Source organism: Homo sapiens, chromosome 18 (assembly GCF_000001405.40).
Source record: "Homo sapiens chromosome 18, GRCh38.p14 Primary Assembly".
NCBI lineage: Eukaryota > Metazoa > Chordata > Mammalia > Primates > Hominidae > Homo > Homo sapiens.
Window position 1 is genome coordinate 7761513 of NC_000018.10, and position 18482 is coordinate 7779994.

Here is an 18482-nt window from a genome sequence, read left to right on the forward strand (position 1 = left end):
TTAGAATAACAGGCCATTGATATCTTAGTAGATTCTTACATTTAGGTACTGACTCTCTGGTTTTCTTTTTTTTATCTGGCTCATGTAGGAAAAGGAGACCTTCAGGATGAGTTTTTGTTCTTCCTGTTGGCTCTTACAGCATTTTTCATATTTATCCTTTTAACTCCTCTGTGTTCCACAAGTTGTCTTCCTTGAGGACAAGGACTTCTTTTTCATCCTGTCCGTTCTCTTATCCCTTCCCCTTTTCCTCCCTAGTGCCTGACATCATGCCTGGCACACAAGTCCTTAGGAGGAGTGATGGTGACAGGGAAGGAGGGAGATGCCATGAGTCAGATAAAAAAGGCAAAACTCTAGAATCAGGAGTTTCTTCTTCCTTTGATGTAGCCAGAGTGTTCAGTGAATGGAGTCCATTAGATGTTTTTTCTTCAGCGCTCCTTTCTAATAAAGATAGAGCAGTAAACAGTTTTTATTCTTACCTTTGTTACAAAAAACTTTACAACATTCTGTTAAATCTAGCAAGTATTTAATGAGTGGCAAACACCTTTCCAGGACTGGGGAGACAGAGATGAACAGAACATTGTCCTTGTTCAAGGACCGCCCAGTGCAATAGAGAAGACAAGCATGTCCAAAGTTACATTGCCCTGCAGTATGATAAGGACATCAAGAAAACCTGTATATTTGGCAGTGATGGTTACCACATGGGAAGGAGTGATTGATTTTATCTGTGAAAAGCCCTCAGCAACAGGTACCTGGGAGAGGTGTTGTCCGAGCTGGGATTTGAAAAGTGTGCAAGAGTTTTCCAAGCAGATGCTGGGGGAGGGGTGGGACAAGTGCTGAACAGGTGCAGGGACCGCATGAGCATAGGGGTAGCATATGGGCAGGAGGATCATTGGGGGTGAATCTACAGATAGTCGGGAATTACTAGAGTGTAAAACTAAAGGGAAGTGGTGGCAAGGAATGAAGATAAAGAGGTAGACGGGGGTTGAATCAGAAAAACAACAGATGTCACATGATTAAAATTTGAGTACTATCCGATGGACAATAAAGGGCTGATGAATAGTTTTAAGTAGGGAGAGAGCATTTTCAGCTGTGTATTTTATAAAAATTCAGCTTGTTGGGAGTGTGTGGGATATACTGGAGAGAGCAGAATCCAGGTTTGAGGGAATGGGTCAAATCAAACGGGAACATGAGCTGAAACTCAAATTGTGGCATGGTAGGAATAGGAGACTGAAAGAAAAATTTAAGCAGTTGTTTAGGAGATAAGGTGTCAGGCAGAGAGAGGCAGTCACTCAGCCAATATAGGCAAGATAAAGAAAGAAATGTCTGTGACTTTGTTATCCTGTTTCAGATAGCATGTGCCAAACATAGTTGTGACTTTCTTTGATGTTCATCACCTTGTAACAGTGACTACACTTTCACATACACCTCTAAGTTCAATCTTCCCTATTTCCCTGGGAGTTAGGTGATAGATATTACAAAGGACTCATACATTCTATAGGGCCCACATTCTCAGGGACTTGCTCATGTTCAAAATTGCACCCCAAAATCCTTAAGGAACCTTTTGGGTGGGAGACCAGCATAATGTTTCTCAGTAAGTCCAATAAAGTCATCCCCTGCACCCCCTTGTCATTGGATTGCTGTTTATGCATTTGAGCATAGGATTAGATTGGTGATTTGGATTTTGGACACACTTTAATTAAAATGCTGATCTTTAAGCATGAAAATTATTTGGACCCCAGTGAAATGTCACACTAAGCAAAGCCTGGAGATGGAAGGAGCAGAGGCTAACTAGGTGGAGGTGGAGGAGCACCAGTTCATATTTCTAATTTCTTAGTTTCAGCTTGTTTGGAGCGTAAGATTGTTAGGCTTCTGGACTAAATGTATGATTTCTCTGTCATATGCCCCTTCCTTTTCAATGTTGAAATCATGTAAGTTGAGCATACCTTTGATATGAAGACTGCATATCTCCTTTTGATGCAAAGAGCAAGACACATGTAACTGATCCAGGACTCTCTGTATCTCAGTTCTATGATCCCAATTAAATACACTCATCTGTACGAGTTCCCCATGGTTGTATTAGAAGAAGTTCTCCTCATGATAGGAAATTGGAATGAATATTTTACCGACAGGATATGTGAAACTATATTTACTTTTTCCTTATAATTTGATTCTACCCAATGAATATAATGTGTAGAAAAAATGTTCATTGAGGGAAGTACATTTAGTTGAGTTTAGGTTAATCAATGTCTGGTGAAAATAAATAGTTGGCTGTCTGTTTTAAGCTGAATAAATAGCATGGTTTGGCTGTACTGCATATTGGTGAGTTCAGGAGTTTATCAGCTGTCCCAGATAATGATTTTATGCTAATAAAATCAAGAGGTGGATTTGTAAATCACACTAAACTGGCAGCAGTGCTACTGGGCATAAAATGCAATTCTTTTTTTTTTTTTTAATTAATTTCCTGGGTATCTCTAACCAGTAACCAGGATTGTTTTCTACCTAAGATATCTCTTCTTGTTTTGAGTAACTCTACTTAGGAGAAAAATTATAGATCAGGGTTTTCTTAGCATGAAATTTAAGCAAAAAATTCAACACTTTGATCCAGCCGTGCTATTCTGTTGTCCTTTATCATCTGAGAGGTGTTTATGACTGAAAAGCATTATTTAGAGCAATAATCTCTGAATCACTTTCTTCACAACCTTTTTGAGGAATACAGTACAACTCATTGATGTATGGAAGAAAAGATTTGAACTTCAGCTTACATGTATTTTCTAATAATACTTAAAAAGGTCAGTATATGCATGCTTGTAATAATCTGCATATGTAGAGCACTACATGATTATAATTTATACATAAACACACATAGGATGGTTATACCTTTTTAAGAAAGGATGTCTTCTGAAAAATGTTTGAGACTACTGATCTCTGGAGCACTCTTTCTGGGTCAATGATTAGATTATTCTGGGACCTTTTTTTAAAACCACAGATTCATGGGGCTGTTCCCAGAATATTCTAGTTAAATAGGTTGATCCAGAACAGTGATTACCAAACATTAGAGTGCATTGGAGCCACCTGGAGAGTTGTTGAAACTCTGGCTGCCGGGCCCAACCCCCAGAGGTTCTGACTCAGTAGGTCTGGGATGAAGCCTGAGAATTTGCATTTCTGAGTTCCTAGGTGATGGTGGCTTGTCCAGGGACCCACTTGGAAAATCACTGCTCTAGTTTGGGACTCAGGACAACAGTGATTTCAGAGATCAGGTCATAAATACTGATTTAGTTTGACGATCTTCTCCCTGAGACATTTCTGGCAGCTGTTTCATCATTTTGTTTTCATTTGTTACTCCTGCTTCTACGATAGAGGCAGACAACTATTTTTTACACTCTCTCTCGTTTTCACTATTGTGGTATAGAGGATAAGAGCACCAGTATTATATTCAGATAGATTCACATTTATGCAGGGAATTCATGCAAGTGGTTTAATTCAATCCAATAGTAGCTCTATGAGGTGTTTATTTGTATGTGGAAAAATTGAGATAGTCAAGTTCCTAATAATTTGGTTGCATCTGTACAATATTTAGGAATAGAATAATACTACTGCACATTAAAGAAAATTTTACTATCAATAAGAAAAATACATCTTTGTTTGTCGCAACTCAGCCTTTTAAAAAATTAGGAATCCATAGATTGATATGAAATGAAGATGGGGTAACTGTAATAAATCATAGAAACTTCAAGAACAAGGCAACTTATTTCCTTTGTATCATATAAAATATATCCATCGGCAAATAGCACTTCTTATAATAGAGCATAGCATTAGCCATTTAAATGCCTGTGTAATGTGTAAAAACTGCTTGCTAAATTAAATTATGTAGAAGAGCCTTTCTATAATGCTTAGTGTCTGATTCACTAAACATCACTGGGGCACTCAAAGTTTAGGAGGCATTATATGCTTTTATTGTTTGTCAGGCAATTAAATGTAGAAGTCACTGTGATTTAAAAGAAGAAAGCAGGGCCTCTGCTATGTTGGTATAGTTTTTTTTTAATACTCCTAAAATAATTATGTCTATTAAATCTCACTTTCTGTTTATCCTTTGCATTGTGTAGTTTATAGCCATTTATTCTACACAGTTTTAAATTTGAGATAAATAGGATCCTCTGAGATTTCATGTAATTTAGGAAAATAGAACATATAACATTAATTCTTTTGGGGGGTACTGTAGCACTATTTTTTGATCTGCCTTCTCTATTGAGAGACCCATTTAATACTTTATGCATTTGATGAAGGCTGACTTAAATGGGGTCATTCTGTATTTGGAACAATGAGAAAAATTTTCCAGAAAACTCATCAAGGAGTATTACAGTCTTTTTACAAAATAACTTTAAATGGACTATAATTATAACAGGAAGAATGTTTGCTAGTGTATGTAAGTCAATTTAACCTGTTAAAGGCAGAACAATTCAAAATATGTGTGTATCTTACAAGTTTATGAAATTAACATTTGATTGTCCTCCACTGGCTTCTTAGAAACAGCACTTTCGAGAGCTTATTTACAATGCAAATCACTGAACAGTTCGTATATAAGCACTGTAAATTGTTGTTTACTTACTTTCTAGAGCTTGGTGAAAATGTGTGAGTACAGACCTTGTTTGAATTGCTAGTCCTGCACTGAAGCTCCTGTGTCTTTGGGTGAGATTATTTGACCCTTCTAAACTGCCATTTGTAAAAATAAGAATGTACCGATCAGGATCCAATCAGGAGAGAGAAGCAACATAGTAATTTAATTAGGGAACATTTATAACTGTAACGGGTATTAGAATACAAGAGATGGGTTAGTACAAGCTAAGGAGAGCATTGAAGAATAAAGGAATAGTGGATGTATGGAGCTGACGTTAGCCCAGGGGCAGAGACAGAGCTCCAGGGAGGAGACTCTTTCATTGCTGAGATCCAGGGGAAGGCTGTGGCTCAGTGGATGGCAGAGGAGTTACTATGGGGCTGCACCTGCAGGACTCAGAGGTAATGTGCCCTCTGATTGGCCGTGAAAGTTATTCATAGGGAATGTTCTGCTGGAGGCACTTGCTACAGAACCACTGGGGCACTGTGCAGGGGCAAGCTGCTGCTACTGGAGGAGCCAGGCAGGGGGGCGACCCTGCGTTGTGCCCTGAGGGACCTGCCAGGGAGCTCAGGGAGGCCACTCCTTCCTCCTGCAGGATCTCTCCTGTACCCTCTACTGATAAAGCTTATACCTTCTTGCCCACTAGTACAGAAAACGTAGTTAAAGCATCTGGATACATTTTTGAAATGAAAAAGATTTAGAGCTAAGAGGTGTAATACCTTGATAACTAGTACAGGGAATATTGATGCTTGCCTTTAGAATTTTTTTTTAAATTAAAATTAGGTAATACATGTTTATATTTGCATGGCTTTTGTTCTGTAACATGTTAATTGAATCAGACATGTTGAGTGAGATAAAAGTCTTACTGGTTGTGAGGAGTCAATGACATCATGACTATATTTTGCCTTAGGCAGAATCTGACTGGCACATGGTCTGTGTTCGCAAAATGGTAGCTGTTGATACCAGAGAACTTTGTAGCTTACAGGTTCCCCTTAGACTGTGTGGCAGTGCTCTCACACAGTAGTGTTGGTTGATAACTTCAAGCTAAATAAACAGTCTTAGGTGATGGCTCTCACCCCAAAACCTTAAGAATACAAGTAGCAATCTTGAAGGATCTTGAAATCAATTTAGTGGATCTAGAACCTCCTTTTAGAACAGAATGATAAATATTTGTATATCTCAGTAGAGATAAATTTGGTTTTTAAAGTGTACAGATGATTTACGTGTACTGGGTCAAGATGTCATGACTATGAGTCACAATAAAAAAAACAATTTTTAATATACTGCTTTAAATGGTAGACTCTATTTCTTGTCAATTTGTTTTCCGTTGTTTTGTCTCCAGGCCTGAAGCTTCAGTAGGATGTAGAATGGTCACATAAGGTTTCCTTTGGGGTGAAAATGGGCCATTTTCTTTATAGCTTATGACTTAATGATTTCATACTACTCTTGGATCAACTGAATCATCCTCAGCTGTTCCAAAGAAATAAAAAAGATAAATATCCTCCATTATGCAAGTGACAATATTTTATTTTCATAAATCAAGAATGACCTTTATCAACAACTAGCCTTGCTGTCTAATAATTGCCAGGAAAAAAAAAGAAAGAGAATTCAACTTTTGTAAGTCAAAAGCCATAATTTGTGGAGACTTCATTAACATTTAACTTGCTTATAGTTTCCAACCATACTAGAAAAATGAACAAGTTCGTTGATTTTGTCACATTTTGCAGTTGGTTCTTCCTGGGATACACCAGGACAGGGCTGGATGGTTTGTGGAGGAAGGTTAAGATTGTTTTTGTTGTTCAGATGTTTATTATGCTTCTTTTGGAAATTTCCAGGCAAAATAATTGCAGCCAGATTTTGCATAGAACTTTGGGGGATTCATTACCTATCCTTTTAAAAAGGCTTTATTGGGTGTTTATCATGCAGCCTGCTCTAAGGAGTACCAAGGTGACTAAGACACAGTTATAATCAGTATTGCTTTGGAGCAGATTTTCTACTCTGCCTATGGGCTTTTCTGTTCTGAAACTCTGTGATTTTCAGGAGAGAATATTGGGCCCAACTCCATTTTCTTTGATTTCTAAAACATGTAGGATCTGCGCATGGTGGCTCATGCCTTAATCCTAGTGCTTTGGGAGGCTGAGGTGAGAGGATCACTTGAACTCAGGAGTTCAGAATCAGCAACATAGGGAGATCTCGTCTCTATCAAAGGAAAAAAAAATTTAGCTAGGCAAGATGGCATGTGCCTGTGGTCCCAGGTACTCTGGAGGCTGAGGTGGGAGGACTGCTTGAGCCTGGGAGATCAAGGCTATAGTGAGCTAGGACTGTGCCACTGCACTCAAGCCTGAGCAGCAGAATGAGATCTTGTCTTGAAAAACACAAAGAATAAAAAGCATGTGGGTCTGCACTTGAATAACATTAGCACACACTACCTGCAGTTTTTAGTTGGAGTAAATGTGCAAACTTATAGTAGCCCACGAAGTCATTGTTGAGAGCAAGAGTATCCATAAAGATATATATATATATATTTTTTTTTTTTTTTGAGTTGGAGTTTCACTCTTGTTGCCCAGGCTGGAGGGCAATGGCATGATCTTGGCTCACTGCAACCTCCACCTCCCAGGTGCAAGTGATTCTCCTGCCTCAGCCTCCCGAGTAGCTGGGATTACAGGCATGTGCCACCACACCTGGCTAATTTTGTATTTTTAGTAGAGATGGGGTTTCTCCATGTTGGTCAGGCTAGTCTTGAATTCCCGATCTCAGGTGATCTGCCCGCCCCAGCCTCCCAGAGTGCTGGGATTACAGGTGTGAGCCACAGTGCCTGGCCCATAAAGATAATTTTAAAGCATATTTCAGTTTTAATCTAGAATGCACTGGGCTCCCACCAAATCAAGCTTGTTGACTTGGAGTGTGGTCACATACTGTCATAAGATGTTATTGAATGGGCCCTAAACCTCATTGCTCTGTTCTGAGGGATGCTGTTGAGAACTCTGTTCATTAACTTCCAACAATTGCTTCTTCCCAGGGTTCTGGGAAGGAAGATAGTTCTCTCTGAATTTAGGGTGAGGGTAGTTGTGTATCTTCTTGGTCTCCAGTTTGGGAGATACTATCCTGTAGTGTTAAGAATATGGGCCCCTTATGACTGGATGCCTGGATTCAAGTATCTGCTTCACGACTCTCCAGCTTTGAGACCTTGGACAGGCTGTGTAACTTTGTATGCCTTGGTTTCTGTATCTGTAAAATGAGGATCATAGTATCTACCTCATAGAGTTGGTGTGAGGATTAAACAAGTCCTGGGTAAATGTTAGTCTCTATTATCAGATTTATATATTATTTTATAGATACTGTAAATTTATGATCAGTCATATTTTCTTCTTTGCACTGGCTACCCCAAAACTCAAAGTGAAATCTGTGGATAAATTCCGGTACATGAACTTAGTGACTTTTTAAAAAATTTTTTGGTGGTGGGTGGGTGGAGTCCTAGCCACATTTCTAGTGTCCTTTTCTTTGCTCTACTTTCCTTGCCTTTTAACTTATACTTTTAACAGTTTTATCGATTTAATTTTTATGTTATTGTGTTGAATTGCATGTCTTGGAACAGTATAGGAATCATCACTGTCATCAATTACCTGGGTATTTGCCATCCATTGACGCTTCTTTTTGCATAGTAACTCATTCTTATCTAGAACCTGTGTGTTGTATTCAAAGTTGCTAAGGAAAAGCCTTTCCCAAGGTATGATGGAGACATGCAGGTACACGTGTGTGTGTGAGAGACAGCGAGAGAGAAAAAGAGAGAGAATGAGTGATGCCAACACCACCCCACCCAGCTTGTATCAACTTTCCTCCATCTTGTATATGACTTGGGTTTAGTCGTGATTTAGTCGTGATTCCCCCCTGTGAAACATGAATAATTTACTTTGATTTAACAGAGAAATATAGTACAACCATGGACTGCTGGGAGCCAGTCCAGGTGTGACAGTTCTGGAGAAAAGTTAGGGAGTCTGTTGCTGACCATACTGCTGTAGATGATGGCAAAATTTGTCTGTATTATTCAGAAAATCAAGAAGACTGTATTTTTAGAAATGCGTCCTTTTACTGTGTTTCAGGGGACTTTGCCTCCTTAACATATATTTTTCATTGTCCCCCATAGCATTTATTTGAAGAACCTCACTAACTGCCTGTTCTTGGCACTTCCATGTTTAATAGAGGAACCTACAGGATGTTACCTATGTGAATGCTCACAACTCTTCATCTTCTCATGAAGTGCAAGTTTTCAATTATATATTCCAACTAGTTGCAATGAAATGCACTCCTGAGAGTGCTTTGTTCTATGAGGTATATCTGGCAAGAAGAATTTAAGAACTGATAATAATTGATGCTGGCTGAACATGCCTGACTCTTGTTACACTGACTTTATATTTGCTGTCTGATTTAACTGTCAGAAATACCATGTGAGGTACATGTTATCTCTGTTTTTTACATAAAGAATCTAGACTTGGGAGACTAAGTGATTTGTCTAAAATCACCAAGCTAACAGTGGAAGAATTGGGGATATGCGTGTGTTTGACTCAGAACCTATACATTTTGCTATTACCTAAAGCTGTCCTGAAAACTGAAAGCTTAGTTGTTCTTTCTTTACTTGGTTATTTTAATTCTGATGTCATTTACTTTAACTCATCTTATTTTAGCTCAATAAACCATCTTTGTTATTTTGGGGGGGTCCCACATCTGTTGAATGAAGGCTAGGGGTGGATCTGAAAATTGGTGTGCAGGGAAATGTATCTTCACTGGGAAATATGAAATTCATAGTTGATCCCATTTTCCAGTAGTTCAATAATCATTCATAAGTCCCGAAAGAACCATATCATACTTTATTTGTTTCATTTCAAGTGATAAGAACAGCTTTGTGTAATGGGAAAATTATAACCTGGCACCAGTGTTGTATTAGTCTTCTGGGTTTGCTCTCAGCCACACGTGCATGCTTTTGCTTTATATGTGGTTCTATTTTAGTGCAATAGTGGTTTTGTAAACCGGGTCTGTAGCCAGCCTTAAGTTGTTTTGTGGATGCTTATCACTATTTCTCACTGTTTTAAGATCGCACTGTAGGACTTTCATCTGAGTGCTATCTGTTTCCACTGGGGGACCTTCTCTGTCAAAATTGAGGATTTCATTCTTTTTGAATGTTATTAGTGCTGTTGCCATTTGAGCTTATTGCTAGAATACTGAAGCTGTTTTCTACATCAAAATTAGGGTTTGCAACCGAGAGACAATACTTCTCGTAAATGTTTGCAGTCTTCTAACATTTCGTACCCCAAACTGGAAAGTTGTTAGTATTACGCATTTGAAACAAATCCATTTTGTTTCTGGAGTTGTTAAAACTCAGTAAGAGGGCAATATAAATGACCCGTTGTTGTCAAGTGAAATATTGAATTAAGTCTGTATCTTTTGAGTTGTTTTGTTCTCAATGGAGTGTTTAGTTGAAACAAGTAATTGTTAAAAGTGTTAGAGAAGACAGTGTCCAGGGACACTAATTTCACCATCAGATCTGGAGCTAACAACTAAGACAAATCTAGAAAGCTGGGACAGACAGTCTGAGGCTCCTTGATGCTATCCTGTTTAACATTGTTTATCAGAGCCTTGGAGGCAGATGTAGAAAGCATGCTCATCAGATTTGCAGACAACACAAAACTAGGTAAGATGGCTATTACCACAATTGAATGACAATGTCAGAGTTGTAGAATGGAGTGATGCACAAAAGCATGAGATGGGATTTAGGAAGGATAAATGGAGAGTCCTGGATTTAATTCAGAAAACCATCTACTTTCTTACAAAGTGGAGAGATGACTCAGTGGCAGTGGTGTACAAAAGCCGTATGGGATTTCAGGCTCGCAGAAGCTGAGAATGGACCAGCACCCTGTCTGCACTGTTGAGAAGAGAATGTGGTTAAGGGCAGTAGCCCGTTGAATTCTAAACAGCTGCCAGGATGGTTGAAGGGCCTGTAAACCTTTTAGTAGCAGGAATTACAGGGAGCAAAGCATACTTTGCCTGTTGCCTGGAGAAGTGAAGACTTAGAACATGACAGCTCTTTTCAAATAATCAGCTTTCCTGTGCAAAAGCTAAGATCTTTTTTCTTTTCTTTTCTTTTCTTTTCTTTTCTTTTCTTTTCTTTCTCTCCTTCCTTCCTCTCTTCCTTCCTTCCTCCCTTCGTTCTTTCTTTTCTTTCTTTCTTTCTCTTTCTTTCTTTCTTTCTTTCTTTCTTTCTTTCTTTCTTTCTTTCTTTCTTTCTTTCTTTCTTTTCTTTCTTTCTCCCTTCCCCTTCCCCTTCCCCTTCCTTCCTTCCTTCCTTCCTTCCTTCCTTCCTTCCTTCCTTCCTTCCTTCCTTCCTTCTTTTTTTTCTATTTTTTCACAGGCTAGAGCAAAGATAAATGGGTATACATTTCAAGAAGCAGAGTTTGGCCCTTTTTAAGGGGGGATGTTCTACATAGTCAGGATGCTTTACAAAATTCTGAGTGCCTCATCTATTCAGAGGCTGGCTGGCTGGCTGGGAAGTTGTACAGTTGACCTAAGCATTTGGATAGAAGTTGGACCAGGTGACCTCTAACATCTGTTTTTGCTCTGAGGTTGGACAATGGCTGTTTTACTTATCTTCTTGCCAACAGGACACACATTGTGGACATAATGTAAAAATATTCTTAAATTCATGTTTTCTTGAATGAGAACACTTAATTGTCATCAGTGGCAAACAATTATAATTTTTTGAATTAATATGATTAATAGCATTATATGGATAGTAGAATTTTCATAATAATTAATAAGATCAATTTAATTAATCACTTTCCCCATGTGAAACATGGAGAAAAGATCTTATACTATAAAAAGTAACAGGAGGCATTCAAGAGGATATGAGATGGGACAAAATCATCAACGTGCTGAATGCTATTGATGCTGAAACAGCTGAATTACTATGTATATTTTGCATTTTCTATTATTCTTTGTTTTTTTTTTAAGTAGTTTCATTTCTAGTACCAGAATTCAGCAGATGTTTACCACATGCTTAGTCTCGAATTTATTTTTCCCTTTAAAACTTGTGTGGACTGTAAGTGAATTTATCATCTCTTTTGATTTTGAGACCTCATATCTCCAAAGTATTAAAGTAAAACCTGTTTCTTTGTTAGATTTAGAATAATTCTTTGGAAAATATTTTGCAAGCTGTACCATGGTTTGTACTGCATTTTGTCCTCTATTATTGTGCCAGGATTGAGGTGAAAGCATTTCTTTTTTCATTTTTTGGACAAATTATAAATGTTTCTTCTTTATTGAAAACATGTTGAACATTTAAGTCAGTTCTCTTAAAATTTTTAATGCAAGAGCAATTTTTCAAATTCCTATACATCTGGAAACTATGAATTTTAAATTTGCTTAGGTCTTACTTTCTTTTTTTTCTTTTCTTTGTTTTTTTTTTTTTTTTTTGTTTGTTTGTTTTTTGAGACAGATTTTCGCCCTGTCGCCCAGGCTGGAGTGCAATGGCATGATCTCGGCTCACTGCAACCTCCGCCTCTTGGGTTCAAGCGATTCTCTCAGCCTCCTGAGTAGCTGGGATTACAGGTGCCTGCCATCATGCCCAGCTAATTTTTGTATTTTTGTAGAGATAGGGTTTCACCATGTTGGCCAGGCTGGCCTCGAACTCCTGACCTCAGGCGATCTGGCCGCCTCAGCCTCCCAAAGTGCTGGTATTACAGGCATGAGCCACCATGCCCGGCCAGATCTTACCTTCAGCTGGCTTCTACCAACATTAGATTGCTTTTGGAGAGCTGCGTAATACAGTGATGTGGGTGAGGCATGGTTAATACTCAGCAGCACTCAGCAAGGGATCACTAAGTGTTGGATGCACAGCTCCTGAGTGGAAAGACCTAATCAGATTTAGTTTGGCATCAAACTTGGCATCAAGTCTAAGGCTTCCTGCAATCATCATAGCTTATTCTAGAGGTCTGGTTGGTATTTACATTACTTTTTATTCTTTTACATTTTAGGTGGCTGCCTCTTTGATGAGCCGTATAGCACATGTGGATATAGTCAATCTGAAGGTGATGACTTCAATTGGGAGCAAGTGAACACCTTGACTAAACCGACTTCTGATCCATGGATGCCATCAGGTTTGCTTTTAGTTTTAAGTTTTGTTTTAAAGAGGAACACAAGAGTCTCAATCATACTATGTGTTCACTGGATATTGGTTAAATGAGTGACGGTGTTGGTCTTTGGATGTGGCAGTCAAAGTTGGATTAGCTAGTGAGAGTGGTGCAATTAACAGGATAGGTTATAAAAGTTTTATCTCTCTCCCCTTAAAGTCTAAATTATACTTCTTTTATTTGCAAGTACATCTTAGCTAGATTAGTGGGCATTACCCAGTTGATCTTTTCCCAAGCAGCAAATATGAGAAAAAGATTGAGATCTCTTCTGGTAAATGTGTCTAAGTGTTAGAACTCCAGTTGGGGAATCCAAATAACAGTCTCCATAGGAGGCCTTGGTGGGGGACTTTTCTTAGCCTCAGGGGCTCCCTTGGCACCTGGGAGATCTAGGAGAATGCCCAGTGATCTTGAAAGTTTTCTGAAGACAAAATGGCAATGCAAAAATGTGGGTATTTTTTCCACTGAAGAAATGTTTAGTGAATTTCTGATGAGTGAAAGATGTGTTCCACTGAACACCAAAAAGAATTTTACTTCTTGTTGGGAGGGAAAAGTAGGAAGATGGTGACTAGTGAGCTCTAATCAGCTTGGAGCTTGATTATTGCAATGGACCCTTTTTCAGGCTATGACATTGGACATCCCTTTAGGACTTTAGGTCTGCAGATTTGGTGATAAGTTTGCTCCACTCAGGATTCAAACTGTGAAACATGTTGTTCTGATTTGGATTTCAGATACAACACAATTTTTACACTTTTTAATGAATGCAGAGTTTTTCATTAATGCTCCAAAGCGTAGGAATAATTACACTTAGTAAGTAATCTTGTAAAGGTAGCTTTTAAACGTGAAGTAGAGTTTAATGTTGTCACTAAGGTTTAACAGTATGATGCTCACTGTGTTCCTGCCCTCTCCTTCCTACATTTAACTACTTATAACTTCAAAGAAGGGAGCATTGAGCTCTTTATCACTGTGGCTTCACTGGACCTCAAAACCTTTTTAGCTGTTGGTTATTTCCTTGCAGCTGCAGCTCACACCCTCCTTTTCTGTGTCTCTTGTTTTCTTTGTATGTGTGTGTGCTGTTGAATATGACTGTTTAAATCAGGTTTAGTTGCTTTTCCAAATTCCAGTTCCTGCTTCTGTTCTTGTCAGCGATAAAGAGAGGGGAAGAGGAGAACACAGCTGTGCTCCTCCTGTGGGGCCGTCGTTTCCCAAACAGGTGTCTTCCCCTGATGGCCTTTTGGTCTTTCCTGCCCTCTCAAGAGGATCCAGCCTGTGTCCAGAGAGGCTGGGCTAGCTGAGGCTGTGAGAGTGGGGAGGGTCCTTAGATTTAGTCCTGGTAGATTGCCCCAGAAGAGTGCACTTACTCTTGCTTTGTCTATTAACTCCTCATTTGATAAAAAATTTGAAATATTTCACATTAGGTAGTTGACTTCATTATTTTTGTTCTTAAATTGAAACTTGACTTGAAAAAATCAGCTTTTAAAAATAAGCCCAAGTATTTCAGAATCTTTTCTAGCCTCTCCTGACTCTGTTTCTGGCACAAGATAACTCACCTCCCTTGATAAATGAGGCCAAATAAATAATTTCTTGTCACCATCTTGTCCTTTTCTTTTTTTCAATGGCCCACCTTAGACTAAGTTGTCAACTTTAAAATATTAAAATCATAGGTTTCTAGCACAGGCCGTTAAAAAAATGGTAGTAAAGTTCAAAGCCCAGGTGTATCCTGGCACAGCCAGTTAGGTAATTGAAAGAACAAAGGTGAATGAAGAGGAAGTGATGCTGCACATATATGGCCTTTGAAGGCTCTTCTGACTTGAGAAGAATGACATGGAGGCATTTATATGTTTTCTTATGATTTATTCTTCTATTGATTAATAGAATACTTGATAATTAATATTAGGCCTTTGTAGCATAAGATCTGTGAGTGTTACATCTTGTAACGCTTTTGTCAAGTCTGACTTATTTCTGATAGTTACAGAAGGTGTGTTTTGGACCCTCACCCCCAAACAGATTGCAACTCATTGTTTGGACCTGAGAGTGGTTTAGGTGTCAGCATTTGAGTGAGGAAAGGGAAGGACTGGCAGTTCCCCCACCTCTCTGGCTGTGCTTATGTGCATGGGTGCAGCTCAGATTTCTGAAAACTATTGTTGCTCCATCAGATTAAATATTTTTGCCATAATATAGAACTGAAAATACAGTTTTTCTTTTTCTTTCTTTTTTTTTTTACTACTCATTAAACAAACTTTAGTCATTAGAAATTGTTTTTGAGCCCCAATGTATGCTAAACATGATGGTAATTATTGTAGGAGAGGAAGGATTATAAGAAATGACTTTTTCTCTTTAGGAACTTATCTACTTGGGGAAAAAAAGTTACAAAAATACAATTAGTGAACAATCTAAAATGATATATAATTAAGTGTGCTATAGACTGGAAGTGTTCTAAAAGCAGTTTCTCAATATCAACCCAATATTTTATAAAAGAATGTGGAGCTGTGCCCAGCTGACCCATCGACCAAAGTGAGGAGTTACATTCTCAAAGCACCGTTGTTAGAAGTGAGGAAACAGCATCTTATAAACATGCATGTACTATCCTAAAGTCTAGATTTTTAAACTGAGTTTCCAATATGTATATACAGCCATAAGTTTTAAATGCTTCTTAGTTTCCAGGGTTTTCACCTTCTTTTTCTTCTCCTCTTCCATTAATGTGTGCAAATGATTTATTCCTTTCAAAAACTGATTCCAAGGCTGGTTTTCCCATGCTAAAACAGAAATGACTCTTATGAATTTCTCAGGGCAAATGGGTGGGAAAATCAGATAGAACCATAGCTTTCTGAGGGCAAATTTTCTAAACCTTTATGTAAAATACTATTGGATTTATTCTTTCATGGGTATGTGTATTTGTCTTATGTATATAGGTTGGTTCCGTAACACTTTAGAGACCAAGAGTTGGCAAACTGCCCTGCTGGTCAAATCCAGCTCGCTGCTAGTTTTTGTGTGGCTTGTGAGCTAAGAGTGGTTGTTACATGTTTTAATAGTTAAAAAAAAAGCAAAAAGAATAATAAAATTTTGTGATGTGAAATTCAAAATGCAGCGTTTACAAGTTTTACTGACACACAGCCATGCCCATTTGTTTAAATGGTGTCAGTGGTTGGTTTCAAGCTACAGTGAGAGTTTAGTAGTGGCAACAGAGACTGGTCCACAAAGCGTAAGATATTTATGCCCTGGCCCTTTATGGAAAAATGTTGCTGATGCCCGTCTTAGACCATTTTGGCATCAGCATGTAATTGTTATTTTGGACCCATGGTTTATATTGTTGTTGTTTTCTATATTCATATAATTATTAATATACAAACATTTCACATTTTCTCTCACTTTCAGAAGATGTGTTTTCTAAACATTGGGCTATCAAAATCAGTAAGAAAAAGAAAAAACATGATTAGAGATTTCCTCTATCATTGCCTTAAATTTGCTATCTCTTGAAAAGCATCGTGATGTGATTTTCTTTATTTTTTAGTACCTAAATCTTTGTCACAGTCCTGTAATTCTAATAAGTGAATAATTCATCAAGGGCTGGGTGCGGTGGCTCATGCCTGTCATGCTAGCACTTTGGGAGGCTGAGGTGAGAGGATTGCTTGAGTTCAGCAGTTCGAGACCACCCTGGACAACGTGGGAAGACCCCATCTTTATAAATGAAGAATAATAATTCATCAAGATGAATTTAAAAGTTATGACAGTGAGAGACTAACATTTCATTCTAATTTTTAGCTTTTTACTTTTTCTGTGTCTTTTTAAAAGTTAGTGCTCCAGTGTATAGATTTGTTTCCCCATATCCTTATGTGTGAGGTTATTTTTAACCACATTTTAAAAAATTAAAATGCAGTTTGGAGTTTTGTGCAAGCTGGCTTGATAACTACTCTGGAGCAGTGACGTTAGCTCTGGAAATACATATTTAGGGGGAATAAATACTAAATGCCGTTTAAATTTTTGTATTTCAAGTGAACATTCATGTCATAGTAGATTAAACTTTTGCTGCTAGCTCTGAGTCATCACGGTTTTCTTGGTGGTGAAACCATGCCAAACCTAATTTCTCTGTTATCAGTGAGTGAGTGATTCGTTTCATATCAGTTGATCTTCTCTAGTAGCAATGGGGAAATTTCTTTCTTTTTTCTTTTTATTTTTTTGAGGCAGAGTTTCGCTCTTTCACCCAGGCTGGAGTGAAGTGGCACGATTTCAGATCACTGCAACCTCTGCAGCCTCCCACTACCTTCCCGCCCTGGTTCAAGCGATTCTCCTGCCTCAGCCTCCCGAGTAGCTGGGACTACAGGCACCCACCACCACACCCAGCTAGTTTTTGTATTTTTAGTAGAGACGAGGTTTCACGGTGTTGGCCAGGCTGGTCTCGACCTCTTGACCTCAGGTGATCCACGTGCCTCAGCCTACCAAAGTTCTAGGATTACAGGCATGAGCCACTGCACCCAGCCCACAGTGGGGAAATTTCTTGAACTTTATCATAAGGATTACTATTTGAACACAAAAATCTTGATATAGTAACCTGGTATTTTTTGTTAGCACTGTTACATCCTATCACTTTATATACTGCAGCACATTCTATAATTATCACATAGATTAAGAAGCATTAAGAAGGGTTTTATGATATAAAAACACCTACCTGGTTTGATAATGTGGTATTTTGTGTACTTGTACCTCAGTGTTCCAGTTCTATATAATTGATACTTAGTAGATTCTATGTGCTTAAAAATGTAACCCTGTCTTATAAAAAAATTATCAAATTCATCTACAATATTAAAAATGTGAAGGTAACTTATAATCATAGCTATAACCGTAGCTATTTGATACTCATGACATGTATTTATAGTCTATGTTGTCCCCTTAAGTTTTCTTACCTCTAGAAAGGCTGTAATTAAGTGAAAGTGGATATCAGTGTTGGGAAAACATAATTCTCTTAGTATTTTTCCAGGTAGTATAGCATGGGACTACATAAAGCTCATTTAGCTTTCCATGTCTTAGTTATATCTGTGGGGAATTGGGAATGATGCTGCTGCTAATTTTCATGGAAATGTGACTAAGAATTGAATCACGTCTGTGGGTGCCCGTATGAAAGACAGAGAGGAAAGTGTCAGGATGGAGCAGCGTGTGCACTCTGTGTGATGACCCAGAAAATAGAAAAATGACTACATATATTTGTTTAGAGTCAATTTCACATTTGGGAAGGAAGATGGATTGACAGACAAAGTAATTGAAGTTTTCTCTTTGGATGCACTTATCAGGCACATTTTCCTTGTGCTAAGGAAGACTTCCCTATTTATTCACACTTCAGGACTTATTCAGGTCTTAGAGAGTAACAAAGAGAAGATGACGGTGGGCTTGAAGACTTTTCCCCTCTAAAATTTCAGCATGTCTCCAGTGAGAAATGTTTTTGGCACAGAATATTCAGACAGTTCTCTAATTATCCTATTCATTCTTTCAAATCAGTCAACATTCAACAAATGTTTATTAAACACCTGCTATGTGCTATGCATTGTTTTAGATGCCTGAGATTTTTCACCGAGTGAAACAAATAAAGATCCTCTTCTCAGCCTACCTTAAATTCTTCGTCTGATAAGATCGTTCCTGGATGGGCTTACGATTATATGCTAGAAAACCACATTTTCCCACATTTATTAATGACTTTCTAG

General features: G+C 38.2%; 1 protein-coding gene across 26 annotated transcripts in view; it reads left to right on the plus strand.

Moving 5' to 3' along the window:
* The window catches only part of PTPRM (protein tyrosine phosphatase receptor type M), an 839541-nt gene that overhangs the window by 194197 nt on the left and 626862 nt on the right, over window positions 1-18482 (plus strand). For all 26 annotated transcript variants that reach the window (XM_011525708.3, XM_047437715.1, XM_011525712.3 and 23 more), the window contains exon 2: window positions 12637-12759. In XM_011525708.3, coding sequence (XP_011524010.1) covers window positions 12637-12759 — 123 coding nt within the window. The remainder of the gene's footprint in view (window positions 1-12636; window positions 12760-18482) is intronic.